This window comes from Homo sapiens, chromosome 8, assembly GCF_000001405.40.
Source record: "Homo sapiens chromosome 8, GRCh38.p14 Primary Assembly".
Taxonomy (NCBI): domain Eukaryota; kingdom Metazoa; phylum Chordata; class Mammalia; order Primates; family Hominidae; genus Homo; species Homo sapiens.
Genome location: NC_000008.11, coordinates 90,219,107 through 90,234,711, shown reverse-complemented (window position 1 = coordinate 90,234,711; position 15,605 = coordinate 90,219,107). Strand labels below are relative to the sequence as shown.

General features: G+C 36.3%; 1 long non-coding RNA gene across 1 annotated transcript in view; it reads right to left on the bottom strand.

Annotated features, from left to right (window-relative positions):
• The window catches only part of LINC00534 (long intergenic non-protein coding RNA 534), a 166,472-nt gene extending 153,248 nt beyond the window's left edge, over positions 1–13,224 (bottom strand). Inside the window, exon 1 of the long non-coding RNA NR_051989.1 lies at positions 12,966–13,224. This is a non-coding gene — a long non-coding RNA (long intergenic non-protein coding RNA 534). The remainder of the gene's footprint in view (positions 1–12,965) is intronic.
• Positions 13,225–15,605: the final 2,381 nt, after the last annotated feature.

Here is a 15,605-nt window from a genome sequence, read left to right as displayed (position 1 = left end):
ATGGGAGGAAGAGTTGATAAACTTGTCTTTAGTCTGACATTGAAAACTTGAATCCATTTTTAAGTTTCTGTGATTGATTTTTTGATACATGGATCTCACAACACCTCTGCTTCTTCTCTCTCCTGCCAATCATTAGCTCTAGAATTTCCCTGATTTCTGATTATTAGCATATTAAAGAGTAATGAAATAATTGATCTTAGTATTAACAGATTAATGTAGTTCAGTCTTATCTGACTGTGCACAGTGATTTATTCCTGGAGTGCTGAGAATATAGAAAGATTTCCTGTCCTTTAATATCTCTATTCACAAGGGGTCTTACCATCTTGGTTCCCAGCAACAGTAATCTGAGACTGTATTGACCTTTTCTAGCAATTTATTTACTTTTACCTCCCCTGAAGTACCTACAACCTTAGCCCTTTGTTCTCATGAGATCTTAGTAACCCCAATATCTTGAACAGTATTCTAACCCTTCTCACCTGCTTTTGTAAGTTTCAAGTGGTTATTTTCTACTCTAACATACCCATGTATATCTAGATAGAAAAGAGGATGGCAAAGTCGTATTAATTTCCTAATGATGACTGATGATACAGAACTAACTGGGACAAGCAATTCTGCTTCTTCTCTCTCTTACCTCCCAGGACTCTAATTAAAAGTCAAGGAAGTAACATTAAAAAAAGAAACACAGTTGAAGATATAAATCACTTAATTGTTTATAAATTTAGCACATATTATAATAGGCAATTTGTTCATGGTGGAGCTAATGCAGTCCCTACAAATTTGTAATGAAACACAATTCTTGGTCACACACAATTCAAACATGTAGAGAATATTCCCCTGAATTGACATATAATATAGTTTGGTTCTTTATTTAGGTTTGCAGATCAATGCAGATATAAATTACTCTGATAATAGGTTGCTGAAGTAGGAAAATTTTCTAGCACTCTGTTCATTTAGGTTTTACTATACTCTTATAACAAAGAAAAATCTTTCCATTTTTTTGCTGTTACATCATTTAAAAATGACCTTGTTAGGATATTCAGTCTCTTTGTTAGCTGCTCATCATGAAATCTTGTATATAAGTCTGAGAGTAGTGTGCGTATATATATATACACACACACACATATATATGTGTATATATATATATATACATATATGTGTGTGTGTGTATATACACATATATATGTGTATATATATATAACCTCAATGCAATTTTTGTCTTTTATACAAGATCACGAAATCTTGTATAAAAGTCTGAGAGTAGTGTGTGTGTGTGTGTGTGTGTGTGTGTTTATATATATATATAAATATATATATAAATATATATATAAATATATATACATAAATATATATACATAAATATATATACATAAATATATATATAAATATATATACATAAATATATATATAAATATATATACAAATATATATACATAAATATATATATAAATATATATATAAATATATATATATATATATAAAACCTCAATGCAATTTTTGTTTTTATAATTTGTTACAGGTAACATCAGTCTTTTTTGTTCCTTAGCCTTATTTCATCAACATAGAGAGGAATATTGGAATCCTTAAGAATTGCAGGAATGCATTTTGACCCCAAAGGCAGCTATCTTGGGTGTACAGCAGCCAAAAAATAAAAATAAAGAAACATGAACTAATTGTAGTGGGATGTTTATTTTCATATAGTTCAGTCCTGAGTCAGGAACTCCCTCAAGGAGCAATAAATTATTTTTATAACTGAACTTTCCATATATAGTGTTTTATCATCACTTACACCTGGACACAGATGCCACCAAAACACCCAAGCTGCTGTTAAGTCTTGAGAATTTCCTTTTATTTTTTAAACTTTTTAAACATTTATTTACTTATTTATTTATTTTGAGATGGAGTCTCGCTCTGTCACCCAGGCCGGGGTGCAGTGGCTTAATCTTGGCTCACTGAAACATCTGCCTCCCAGGTTCAAGCAATTCTCCTGCCTCAGCCTCCCAAGTAGCTGGGATTACAGGTGCCCACCACCACACTAGGCTGATTTTTATATTTTTAATAGAGATGGGGTTTCACCACGTTGGCCAGGCTGGTCTTGAACTCCTGACCTCAAGTGATCTGCCTGCCTCGGCCTCCCAAAGTGCTGGCATTATAGGTGTGAGCCACCATGCCAGGCCAAGAATCTCCTTTCAAACACATGTTGCCAGAATAACTGGTTACCCAAATGCAAAAGAATAAAGTTGGACACTTCTCTCATATTATATACAGAAATTAATTCAAAATGGATCGTTGGTATAAATTGAAGGCCTAAACTCTAGAACTCTTAGGAGAGAACATAGAATAAATTTTCATAACATTGGGATAGGCAATGGTTTCTTAGATAACAGTAAATGTACAAGTAACAATAGAAAAGATATATATCGGATTTCAACAAAATTAAAGATTTTCATGCTTCAAAGGACACCAAGTAAACATACAACCCACAGATGGGAAGAAAATTTTGCAATCATCTATCTGATAAGGGACTTGCATCATAAATAAAGAACTTTTAATTAACAATTAAAAAGTAATTAATAAATGAGAAAAGCACATGAATATACATTTTTCCAAAATATATACACAAGTGGCCAGAAAACAAATGAAAATATGTTCAACATCATTTGTCATTAGGGAAATGCAAATCAAAATCAGTTTACCAACACTAGGATAATTAAAATAAAAACAAAAGGTAATAACAAGTGTTGGTGTGGATGTGGAGAAATTGGAACCCTCATACATTGCTGGTGGGAATGCAAAATAGTGCAGACACTTTAGTAAACACTTTGGTAAACACTTCCTCAAAATGTTAAATATGCAGTTAGTATATGATCCAGTCCTAGGTTTATACCCAAGAGAAATGAAAGCATGTCCACTCAAAAATTTGTACACAAATGTTCGTAGCCACATTATTCATAATATCCAAAAATTGACAACAACCCAAATGTCCATCAAATAATAAATGTATCAACAAAATGTGGTGTATCCATACAATGAAATATTATTTGGAAGTAAAAAGTATGAAGTAACAGTGGAAACTACAACACGGATGGATCTTGGGAACATTATGCTGAGTAAAAGAAACCATATACAAGAGGTGATATGTTGTATGACTCTATTTTTCACTTTCTTTTCTTTTCTTCTTTTTCTTTTTTGAGACAATGTCTCACTCTGTCACTCAGGCTAGAGTGTGGTGGCGCAACCACAGCTTACTACAGCCTCAACCTCTGGGGCTCAAGTGACCCTTCCACCTCAGCTTCCCAAGTAGCTGTGACCACAGCTGCATGCCACCATGCTGACTAACGTTTTTGCTTTTTTGTAGAGATGGGGCTCTCCCTATGTTGCCCAGGCTGCCCTGAACTCCTGGGCTCAAGCAATCCTCCCGCTTCAGCCTCCCAAAGTGCTAGGATTAGAAGTGTGAGCCACTGCACCCAGCCACTTAACTTTTATTAACTGTTCAGAATAGGCAAATTCATAGATACAGGAAGAAACCTCTGGTTTCCAGAGGTGTAGGTAGTGGGCAGGGAATGGGGATGACTGTTAAGAGATATAGGGTGTCTCTTGAGGGTGATGAAACTACTCTAAAATTAGTTCTGATGGTTGCGTCATTCTGTGAATACACTAAAAAACAGTGAGTCATACACGTTTTGAAAGTTGAATTTTGTGGTATATGAATTAAATCTCATTAAAGTAGTTAGGTTTCTTAAAAAACTCAATTGTGGATTTTTTAAAAGAGTATTTCTGCAATTATGTATTCATTGCGCATCCTTTCTATAAATGCTTAACCATCTAGCCAAGCTGCTAGGTGTTAAAATTGATATTTCAACTAAACATTAACTTATAAAAGATGAGGGGCTCGTGGTGAATTGCGGAATCATTAAATGCAAATTTTCAGAGGAAATTCCCAAGAAATTCTTCCTTATCTCTTGAACCTTTTTATGCACTTTGAAATATTAAATGTGTGCAAAAGTGTAGGAGGGAGAATCCTGTGAGGAGGATTTGTTGAGATGTCACTGAAGAAAGCTCGACTTTGAGCCCTCTCCTTTAACTCATGAGAAAGGTGGCAGATGCCCCAAGTCTGGTGAGAGTGAGTCCATGGGGCTACTTGGAGTGCCTATGTGACTGCCTAACGTGGAGGGCAGGACAGACCGGGATCTGACACCTACCCAGGAAATTTAGACAGTGAGAGCCAAGTAATACCTAGATAGGAGTCAGGAGAAGAGAAATAGACTCCTATAATTTGTTGGGGGACAGTGGGGAATCAGTGCTTCCCTCAACAGAGAGGGGTGCCACATGGTAGAGCAGATTCCAGATCACTCTGGGCTCTTTCCAATAGCATAGCTTGCAGGTGCAGAAGAGGCACAGAAGCAACAAGCTGGGGATAAATGGCTGTGGAAGAAACTGCAAATCTACCCAGAATAGGATGCATCTACTTGGGTCAAGAGGATTGCTGGGAAGAAAGAATGAGACCCAGAAGGTACACTCTTTCAGCCTCTGAAAAATGTTTTTCACAACAGAAAGGGCCAGCCCCAGAGGGCAAGAAGCCATGTTACTTTGATCTAGTAAGACCTAGACCCTACCCATTTATTTCTTCCTCTCTTCTCCCTGCTACTTCTCCACTCCAAAGTGTTTAGAAACTAGTTAGCAAGAGGGAGCCATGAGGCAGGAAAAACAAATAAGAAATTAACTCCATCCCACCACTTTTCTACTAGAATTTTCCAGACCAAAGTAAACCCAACCTGTCAAAAGGAGTTTACCTGTTAAATAACATTTGGGGTTTTGATTACTATTTTCCAAAGATAAGCCTAATTCCTGAACTGAAAACATTTGCATTTTAAAATGACTGTAGAACTGTCTGTTATCTCAGTGTGGGCACAAATAACATGAGATTAGTTTAATAAATTTATTTGTCTTGCTCTAAAATTTAAAACTACTTTTGTATCTTAATGTTAAACATTCTCTTCTGCAATGTATGGCTTTAGAGTATCTATAAGATTTTTTTCCAAAACAGTCTTAGAGCTAAAAGACACAGTGGTGATAATACCGTCCACAGAGCAGGACCAGGTCCAAGATGTGGAATGGCTATTTCGAATGTGTAAAAGAGACCATTCTTCTTGACTGCCAGCTTAGGACTTTATAAAACCAAATATCAATTTTTTTATAGAATTTGCTGTGTGCAGAACCTAGCACAGAATATATATGCTTTAAATGGGCTTGTTTCATTAGGACAATTACATCTACAGGACCCATGGCCTATAGATGCTGACGGACTATATCATGGGTTGATGGACTCCACTTTATGAAACTCATGTATTTTAAGGTTTTCTCACATCAAATTATGTCTACAAGGCTTGTAATACATTTTCTTTTCTCTTTTTAACATAATAATTATGTGGTGCAGTATAACTGGGAAAGAAGATGACATCAGCTCAATCCTCAAAGGTTTTAGGATGATAACATTCAGATTTATGGGCATTTTTAGTTCTTTTTGATTGCAGAGTTCAAAAAGTTTGATACACCTTTTTGTGGTGATAGAACCATAAATTATCATTGACTTAATGACTGCCTACAGTTGCAAGGACAGTACCTTATGGTAGCAATAAACTATGTTTACCTCAGTTATTCAAATGCAGGATTATATCTGTGGAGTAAATTGGATGAGTTGTCCTGCCAGCTGCATGAGGTGGTGCTAAGTGTAATTTTACCCTGGGGGCAGGGGCTGATTCAGACTTCTGAAAAAACAGTGGAAAGGGGACAGTTGTTTCTTTAAATATACAGTTAAAGCTCAACTTTTGTGAAGGCCAGTCCTCAAAACAGTCTTTTGGTGTGGTATGAAGAGTATGATGTATAAAACTAATTTGATGTAAAAAACTCAAAAATATAGTAGCATGGAGGATTGGTTCAGTGTTTATATAACAGAGTAGTGTGGTCCAGCTATAGACAGAAAAGCATAAATAAATGGCCTCTATAAACCAAAATTTATTAAATAACCCAGGCAAATACATAAAAGCTCTTTGCCTGTAGAAACAAATCCTTCTAGCACAGCAGTAACATTTCCACACGCTGCTGAATCACCAGAAGGTTTTAACATCCATTTTCTGGGATTGCTTAAAAAGCGGAGCAGGTGCCAGCCAACAATTCTGCTATTGGGAGAACATACAGAGGCAAACTGAGTCATCTGTTAATAGTTGTGAAGAGTTTCTTGTGAGCACTGACAGTTTTCTAAGCCAGCAAGCAACCTCAATACTCACAAAGAGATTTTAGAGAATCCAGATTGAAATTCCCAGTCCCATGGCTCTTGAGTTTACCCAGATAGCTGAGCAATTTCAGGAGCTTCTGCCTTTCCACTCTTTCTAGCAGAAAGCATATTTGCTAGGTAACTGAAGAGCCAATAATGGCCTGAGTTGCCCATTTGGGGAATTCAGTAGAAGATGTGCACATTTTTCTCAGTTTCTTGACTCACATTATTTACATATGTACATGCAAGCTAAGGTGGGAAAGATGTGTGCAAAGGGTGTGATATAAATGGCTGAACCCACTGCTTCTTTATCTCTGGCTTGGTTATAAAAAAAAAATCATTATAAGACATTCCTTAAAGGGAGCATTTTTGAGTTCCAAACAGAATTTCCAAAACTGGAGAGTATGCTGTCTGTGGAGGATTCTAAAGAACAATGCATATAAAAATGCTTCTAAAGGGAAAGGGGAAAAAATGTTATCTTGGGCAATTTGGACTACATTTAAATCTTAAACTGACCCAGCAGACTCTCCTTAAGCCCCTCAAATGATAAGAATTGTTATTTAATTGCTCTGACAGTTAATTAACATCCAAACAAGTACAGCAATAAACTAAGACATACTGTTCATTGAGAATCTATAAACAGACAAATAATTATACTATTAGGCATCACTGTCTTTGAGACTTAATAATGATAGAACTTAGGTTATTACTCTATTTAAAACCGCCATAGCGAGGTGGCCATAAAATCCATCCTTTTCTTTTACAGGTTTAAGATGCCTGGATTGTGGACAACCAACGGCATTCAAAGCTGAAAGTGCACTAATTAATGGCACATAGGGGTTGGATTTTGTGACTATCACTGAACATTTCTTGTTATCTAAATGCACTTTAAAATGTCTTGACCTATTTTTCCAGTTGTAGTGCACATTCTTCAAAAGACAAATTTTATTTCTATAAGCAGAAGTGTTGTGAGCCATGGGATTCTAAGAAAGTTACTATTTTCACTGTTGCAGAACTTCAGGCAGATTGGTCATAGAATTGACACATAGGCTTTCTGTGGCCCCAATGCCTACTGCTAGGTAACAGCACATCAGCGTCTTGGACAGCAGCCAAAGCTGAAATAACAGCCGTGTCTAACCTTTTCTCCTATTCCCATTCGAACTGGAAGACTATTAATTTGAGTACCGGTTTTTAATGAAAACCCTTGAGTATCTGATAGCTATAAGAGTGAGTTTGCTATAAGCAGACCATATGAAAATAACTTATGCATTCTTCCAGTGTAATGATTAGTACATGTTGAGAATAAATAATTATCAATTCCCCTCAATATATATTCATCTTTGCCCTTTTCTGGACAGTTTTTTAATTTTTAATTTGAGTATGATGGAAATATAACTTAATTTTACTTATGTTTATTTGGGGGTGGCCACTGCCAGATGCAGAATGGTCTTTCTCCACTCACAAATAAGTGCATTGCCTTGTCATGATCTAAATAATTGAACTCATGCTCTCGTCTAAGATTCACATTCTTCTCCTTTCCAACCTTCATGGACATGGTGTACAGGTAGACTAGCTCCTGGCTGTAAAAGATTTCTATGCCCTGAAGAGACGGCAATAAGGGCAGTTTTAAAACAGCACATTCATTCAAAGTGTTAACCAACTACCATTTCAGTAATATATGTGGAACACCAGCAAGGTAGATAGCATCACCATTACCCCTTTGCAGCTGAGGAAACCAAGAAAGCATGACTATACAACTCACCCAAGGTCAGCCCATTCATCTGAGTCTGTTTCCCCAGGTAGCAGCACTGCACTTCCTGGAAGTAGCATTACACACAGTATCACACTCTGTTACTGGGCTCACTGGATTTTCCATGACCTATGCTAATGCCAAGCTGATACTCTGAAGAATATTTTCTTGTTTATAGGTGAGAAACTTATAGGAGTGGAGTAGGGAGGCAGAGACAGAAGTGTTGAGATAAGATTTATCTCTAAAATCTGAGCTTATATATTCCACATAAAGAAATGTCATTTCTAAGGCTACTTGTTTTGCTAATATTTAATTGGTTTGTGGAATGTGCCAAAGTGCCATACTCCCTTTTTTCCTCAAGTGAAGTAATTACCTTGGGTTCTCATTTTGAAAACGTAATGTTTCTTCCATAAGCTCATAAGCAAGTTCTCATTTTTCTCCTTCTACCTTGGAGCCATTAATGTTCCAAAAAGAAATGACTTTGTTCAAAATAGCCAGAAACAAGTGCTCCTAATATTTTTTCATTCAAATTAATTTTAAATTACAAAAGTTAAAGAGCTTGTAGCAGTCTGGGTCAGCTTTCAAGAAAAAGTCATCAGGTTTTGTACAGTATGTCTAGTTCTTTAGTTCAATTCAGCTTCATCCTGCCTCACAAAAATAATAACTTTGGATAATGCTGGAATAACAATGTCAAGCTTTCACAATGGGTCTTGATGGTAAACTCAGGTTTCTTGTGAGTGTGACATCATAACAGCATCTACACTTACGGGCAATTTTAAAACCAAGAGACCAAAATCACAGGCATGAATCATAGCATCCTCCCTTATTTCTAAGATGTATACATGAAGATGAGATAAATAGCATTTTGTAAAAGGATAATTGGCTGGTAGTAATTCTCCTAAGTGAAGGAAAGAATGAGTCTTTAGATACCTAGTCTGTTACATTGTCCCACCCCTTTACTAATTAAATGCTAACCTCATGATTCGAATGGGAGAAAACCTGAAGCTGACTGAAGACTTTCTCATCTATCCTTTAGCACCACAGTATCAAAGGTGTTTCATATTTATTCTGTGAGCACATTCCCTGTTATAGCCTTTTAATTACCTATCACTCTAAAGATTGTAAATTAACAGGAGAAATGTTGGCTTCAAAGGTGATATTTAAAACCAATTGCCTCAGTGAAGATCCTGTGTAGGTAGTGGTTATTCAACTACAAAGGAGGTCACCAAAAAGCTCTATTTTATCTCTAACTCAAAGGACCATCTTTAGTTTATAGTTGCTAACATCTAAAAATCACTTCTTTAACATACAAAAATTCCTGAAACTCTCTCCTTTCTTGTTATGTTGGTTAATTCAGTAAACCAGTGGAAGTAATAAACATAGATGCTTTTCTTCTTTCCATTTTGCCAATAGTGAGATTTAAGACATAGCAAAGTGTCTGCTTTTAGACTGACTTGCTTCAAGGTCTCCAGATGGCTGCCACAGTTCTAGATATCCCCATGCAGATGACCATGCCCCAAAGAAAACTTTAAAATCACTTTATTTTTTGCAATTATCTTCATGTATCATTTTCTAGTTTCACCCTAAAATGTTCTCCTATCTCGCTTTGCGTGGGTAGAGCTGACTTTCACTAGGGCATGTCTGCATTGTCCTGAGCAGCAGTGGAGAGTGATTGGGCGAGAACACAAAGTTCTGCCTCTCCCTAGAGACTAGCTTCTCAGATTCTATAGAATGCCTGCCTGGGGCTCATGTGAGCAACAGGGTCCATGTTCTGGTTTAACCTTTGCTGCTTGACTTCTTTTGATATAATGTTTATTTCCAAAGTGCAGGTGCCTCCACTGTCATCAGTTCACCAACAAGAGCTGACCTATAGATGACCAGAAGGGCTCGCTTCAGCAAAAGCAAAAAAGAAACCCTTTTTTTTTTTTTTTTTGGCCAAATTTAAGGCTAGCCATCTATGTTACAAATCATGCTGCAAAAAGTAAAAAATTTAAAGCTCAGATTGGATCAACATTAAGGAGAGGTAAAGATGGGTGGGTTTCCTGGTCTTTTCAAAATAAATGTGACTTTTAAAAGGATGAAAAAAATGTTTTATGCTCCAGTATATTTGACTCACTGACCTTGACCTTAAGAAATCTGATAACAATCCTAATGCCCTAGAACAATGGAACTTTAAAATTAAATGGAAAAGCATGCACAGCAGCAATGGCAGCCCATAAAGCCCCCAGCATAAATGCTGCATAACTGGAGTAATGGGGAGTTTGAGTGAAAGGCAGTGGAAAGTTACAAGAAATTCAGAAATTATTAAAAGAGAGAGCCTTTATTCTAGGTCTTTTTATCAGTATCTGTTTACAAAAAGGCAAAACTATCCACAGTTATTTATCTATTTCCCCAATTTATGAAGCTTTGACACATGACAGTCACTTTACACCATGTAATCCTCATAAAGAGAGCATTGTTGTCCACTATCTAACATTTTTTTTCTTAATGGAGACTCTTGAGATGGTAAACAGCTTACTCAGATTATACAACAAATCCATTTTTACTTAACAGACAGAAACTCAGATCCAAAAGTATTCTCTTCCTCAGGTCTCTTAACTACCTCATTTGATGAGAATACACAAGTGATCACTCAGAAATTTAGTCAAGAATTTTAAGGTCACTTAATTATTTTAAGATTTGATTGAAAACTTGGCCTATTGCTTAAATCCTCTAGTGGACTTCCTCATTGCATCAGGTCAATTGAGTCAATCTTCAGATAGCTTCACACTTTTTTTTTTTTTTTTTGAGACGGAGTCTCGTTCTGTTGTCCAGGCTAGAGTGCCGTGGCATGATCTCGACTCACTGCAACCTTCGCCTCCTGGGTGCAAGCTATTCTCCTGCCTCAGCCTCCCAAGTAGCTGGGATTACAGGCACCCGCCACCACACCCAGCTAATTTTGTATTTTTAGTAGAGACAGGGTTTCACCATGTTGTCCAGGCTGGTCTCGAACTCCTGACCTCAGGTGATCCACCCGCCTCGGCCTCCCAAAGTGCTGGGATTACAGGCGTGAGCCACTGCAGCCAGCCACCTTCATTTTTCAAAATGATGAATGTGTTATAATAGAAACTTCTAGTCTTCTACGGTACCCACCATAGAGAAAGTTGCCTTATATAAATTTAAAACAAAAAAAGCATGTGTTACTGCAGCAAGATTTCCAATAGAGAGCGAAAACCTATTTGACATTAATCAATCACTTTTGAATCCTTGCCACAGCAAGTAAAATGTGAGGACAAAGGAACACAGACTGGGTCATGATTCATTAGTACTTAACTTAGATCAAGCTAAAGCAGACAAGAGGAGATAAATTTCTTATCAAACAGCTTTAGTGATGATGGAAGATTTAGACTCTATTTCAGCATTTTGCTTATTGAATTCCACATAGACAAATTTATCATTTTGAATCTCCCCAGTAAATTTTCTCTGCATTCAAATAAATGATAAGCTATGGGCGAAGAAATTCTCTCCTTTAATACTTTAATACCATATACAAATCTAGTCATCACATTAGTTGAATCCTAGAACCTCCTTCCTTTTGTGAATTAAAAACTTACAGCTCTTGGAAGACCAAGATATCAATACTGAGAATAATCAAAGGGTACATGTATAAGGATGGTGATGGGAGGTTAATCTCAACAGATACAGAAGTAAACAAAGCTTGGCTTAATAAAGCAAATGGTTATTTTAAGCAACATCAAATTTTTATAACGAGATCAGTAATGGAGAATATATAATGAAGCTTTTCAATAGAGTTCAAGGATTGAAACGAAGTGTGAAAAACACGACATTTTAGAAGCACACATCTATACAACACTGAAATTAAGATTAGGGATAGTAAGTGACATGGCAGGAATTTCTTTCCATTTTTTTTTAATTTCATAATTTTTTTTAATTTCACAGATTTTTTTGTTTAATTTCACAAGGATTAGTACATGAGCCATTATTTATCTGGCTTAGTAAAAAGTTTTCTGCCTATCTTAGCTAAGAGAAATGGAAGGCAACACTTTGATATGAGTGAATATAGCAATAATCAAGAAATTCCTATTCTATGAGATGTGGCAATGGTCGCAAATAAAATGTGACTAGTGTCCATGGGCAAGGTGAATAATTAATATATTCATTCACTGGGGACCTACATATAGTTCCCAATGAATGGGAACTTTTGGTATTAAAAAATTTGTATAAAGGTAATTTTTTGGTATAAAAGAAAATTATTAGCTTAAATTTCATCCTGTGCTCTCAGGAAAAAGAAAAATACTATTGGTCGTTTTTTAGAGAATGATACTAGGTATCAGCTAGCGTACTCAAGACCTGTGATATATACACATCATGTAAAATTTAAACACACCAACACTTACTAACATACAGCAATAGCACCAATATATTGAATAGACTTTAAACAGATTATTTTCATTAATTAAAGAAAATACCTGATATACCTCACACAGCTACCTGCAAAATGCTGCAAACACAGCAGAAGCTCAATAGAGATATTAATTAATCCAGTCAGCTAATGGTGATACCGTAACTACAAAAGCTGTATCCAAGATGATAGAGTTCTTAACTGGCCTCTCTGTCTTCAGTCTCACTGAAGTCCCACCCTCTAGACTGCAAAATAATCTTTCCAAAGATGAAATTTCTACTATGACACTCTATTTTTTAAATATTTAGTGGCCCGCAAAATAAGTTCCAACTTCCTTAGCATGTCTTCCTCACACGGCCCTTCATGATTTGGCTGTTATGTATCTAGACACCCTTAGATCCTGATACTTCCACACTTATTCCCTACACTCCCAGAATGCTAGACAACCAGCAATTCCTTGAGTATACCTTGTAGTCCCGTTTCATGCCTTGATCTCTATAGCAGCCATCATTGATACCCACCCATATCCGTTCAGCACTCACCATTTCTGTGAACCTCTAACTGCTGGCTTTCACCTGCGACTCTTTGCCTGAGGGCTTTCTCAGGTGGCCAGAGCTAATGGGGCCCACACCTGTGGAAAATCTAAAATAGAGAAGAATTAACATCCATAGGGAGCAGCTCTCAACCACAGAATGACTGGAACTGGTGAGCAGCTCCAAGTCATAGCCACACTGTTTCCCAGGGTGCTCCCAAAGAACTGAGAGACCCAGTTGCTCACAGAAGTAATCTGCCAGAAAAGACACTCTTTACAGTCATTCTTCCCTTCCTTATCTCACTTCCCACTCCCCTACTAGTGTTTCCTCCCAAATAAACTGCTGTACTCAACTCTTTGCCTCAGAGTGTGCTTCTGAGGAGAATCTTGTCCAAGATAGTCCCTTTACAAGTATCGTTCCCACTTCTGGAGAATATTTTTCCTTTCCTTCAAACCTACTTGGGAATTCTTCACCATCCTTTAAAGCAAACCTTCTTAAAATTTAATGTCATACAAATGACCAGAGATCTTATTAAAATAGAGATCCTGATTTGGTATGTCCTGAATGGGATCTGAGATTCTGAAGTTCTAACAGGCTTCTGGAAAAGGCGAATACCCCCAGTTTGAAAACCACACTTTGTGAGTAGCAAATATTTAAGACACAGTTCAAAAACCTATTTCTTTGGAAGTCTTCCCTAAAACTCCTTCATTCCTATCCTGATGATTAATTTTTCTTTTTCCCCTATGTTTATTACTGTGTGTGGTAATTCTTTGTTTACAGGTCTATCTCCAATGAGTTTGTTCCTTTAAGATGAGGATTGTCTTTTTCTTATCCATGTATCCACAATAACTAGCATATAGCCTGACATATTACCCATACCTAAGAAATGTTTGTGAACTGGTAAAATTAATGAACAAATTATAATTTTATGGCATACTTCACCAAAAATTTTATATGTACACATATTGTGTTCTGACACATTCAACTAAGTCAACTGTGTTATAAATATAAATTGTATAAATTCTTCAGATTTCTGGTCTATTTTTACATTAAATCATAGACTTCAGGACTTCTGAACAATGCAGATTATAGAATTTCTGCTGTAGAGATATTTAATAGGCTATGTCAACATCAGCTTAAAATGGTTTAGTTAACTGTTATCTAAAGGTCAGGAAAAGTATCAATCACTAGAATCCCTTCTTTGTATTCATATTTAAAATCTGTGGATGAATGTTGTGCAAGTTAGTCATTCATTGGGTTTAGGGAAGTGGAGAAGGTGGTGGCAGTGTGTGTGTGTGTGTGTGTGTGTGTAGGCACTTGCATGCATTTTGGGGGTGGGAGATATATTAGAGCAGAAATCACAAGAACATCCTAGGAGGAAGTACTTTATGGACTGCTCTCTTACCTGCCACAAATTGCTTGCAAATGCCATTGCCCTCAGAATCTCAGGATTGAACTTCTTGTTTATTTTAGTTGCTTCCTTCTTAAGAAAAATTCAATGTAAGGTGGTGAAACTAAATCTATCAAGGGAATAGCTATATGGTATCCTTAGATGGACAACTAATGGAAATAGCATCTGATCTTTCTACTTTAAGATGCAAGAACAGAAACTAGGGTGTTTTGAGCATATCAAGTTCTGAACTAGATAATAGCACTGATAATGGACTAAAGAAAAGTGATATGTGGAGCCCACAGTGTTGACTGGAAGTCAGCTCCTATCTCATTCCAACCTCATTCTCTTACCATTAGAAATCAACCCTGAGCATGTTAGAAAGATGTTCTCATGACAAGGAAAATGGCAACTGAAAGCCCTTGACATATTAAGATTTGACTAGATCAGAACTTGAATAACATTTTGTACTTTATTTGCATCTACCACATTGTATTTTAATTCTTACTGTCTAGGTCCATGTTTCCAATTAGGTTAGTCAAGTCCTTGAGAGCAGGAATCAATTTAATTCAGTTTTTTATTCCTGGAATATCGCTTGACCTATTGCAGATGTTCAGTTATCACTGTTGAGTTAATGAATCAATGAATGAATTGATCAATGAATAAATTATAGCCACATCATAATTGTTAAAAGAACACTAAACAGTGGATTAAAGCTTTGGGAGTCCAGAGAGCTAGGGAGGAGTCACAGTTTCTCAAAGATTTTACTAGTTCGAAAGGGTGTATTTAACATTAAAACAACAAAGAGATATACTTAGAACCCACTCTAAACAAAGACTAATAATAACAAGGACTGACGAGAATGTAAGAACTGGAACTCTCATGCATTGCTGGTGGGAATGTGAAATGCTACGTTTACTCAAAAATTATTATTTACTATATAACCCAGTAATTTCACTCTTAGATCTATACTCAAGAAAAATGAGAATCTGTGTCCAGACAAAGACTTGTGCATGAATGTTCGTAACAGCATCATTCATAATAGCCAAAATTTGGAGACTACTGAAATGTCTATCAACTTGTTAATGGAGAAGCAAAATATGGTATGTCCATATGAACGGATATATTCAACTATAAAAAGAACAGACTTACAGATAGATGCTACATTTATAAATTTTACCAAATGTAAATTTTTCCAACAGGACTGTTGCTACTCATTATCTCTTTTGTTATCCTGAGAATTTCCATAGAATGCTTTA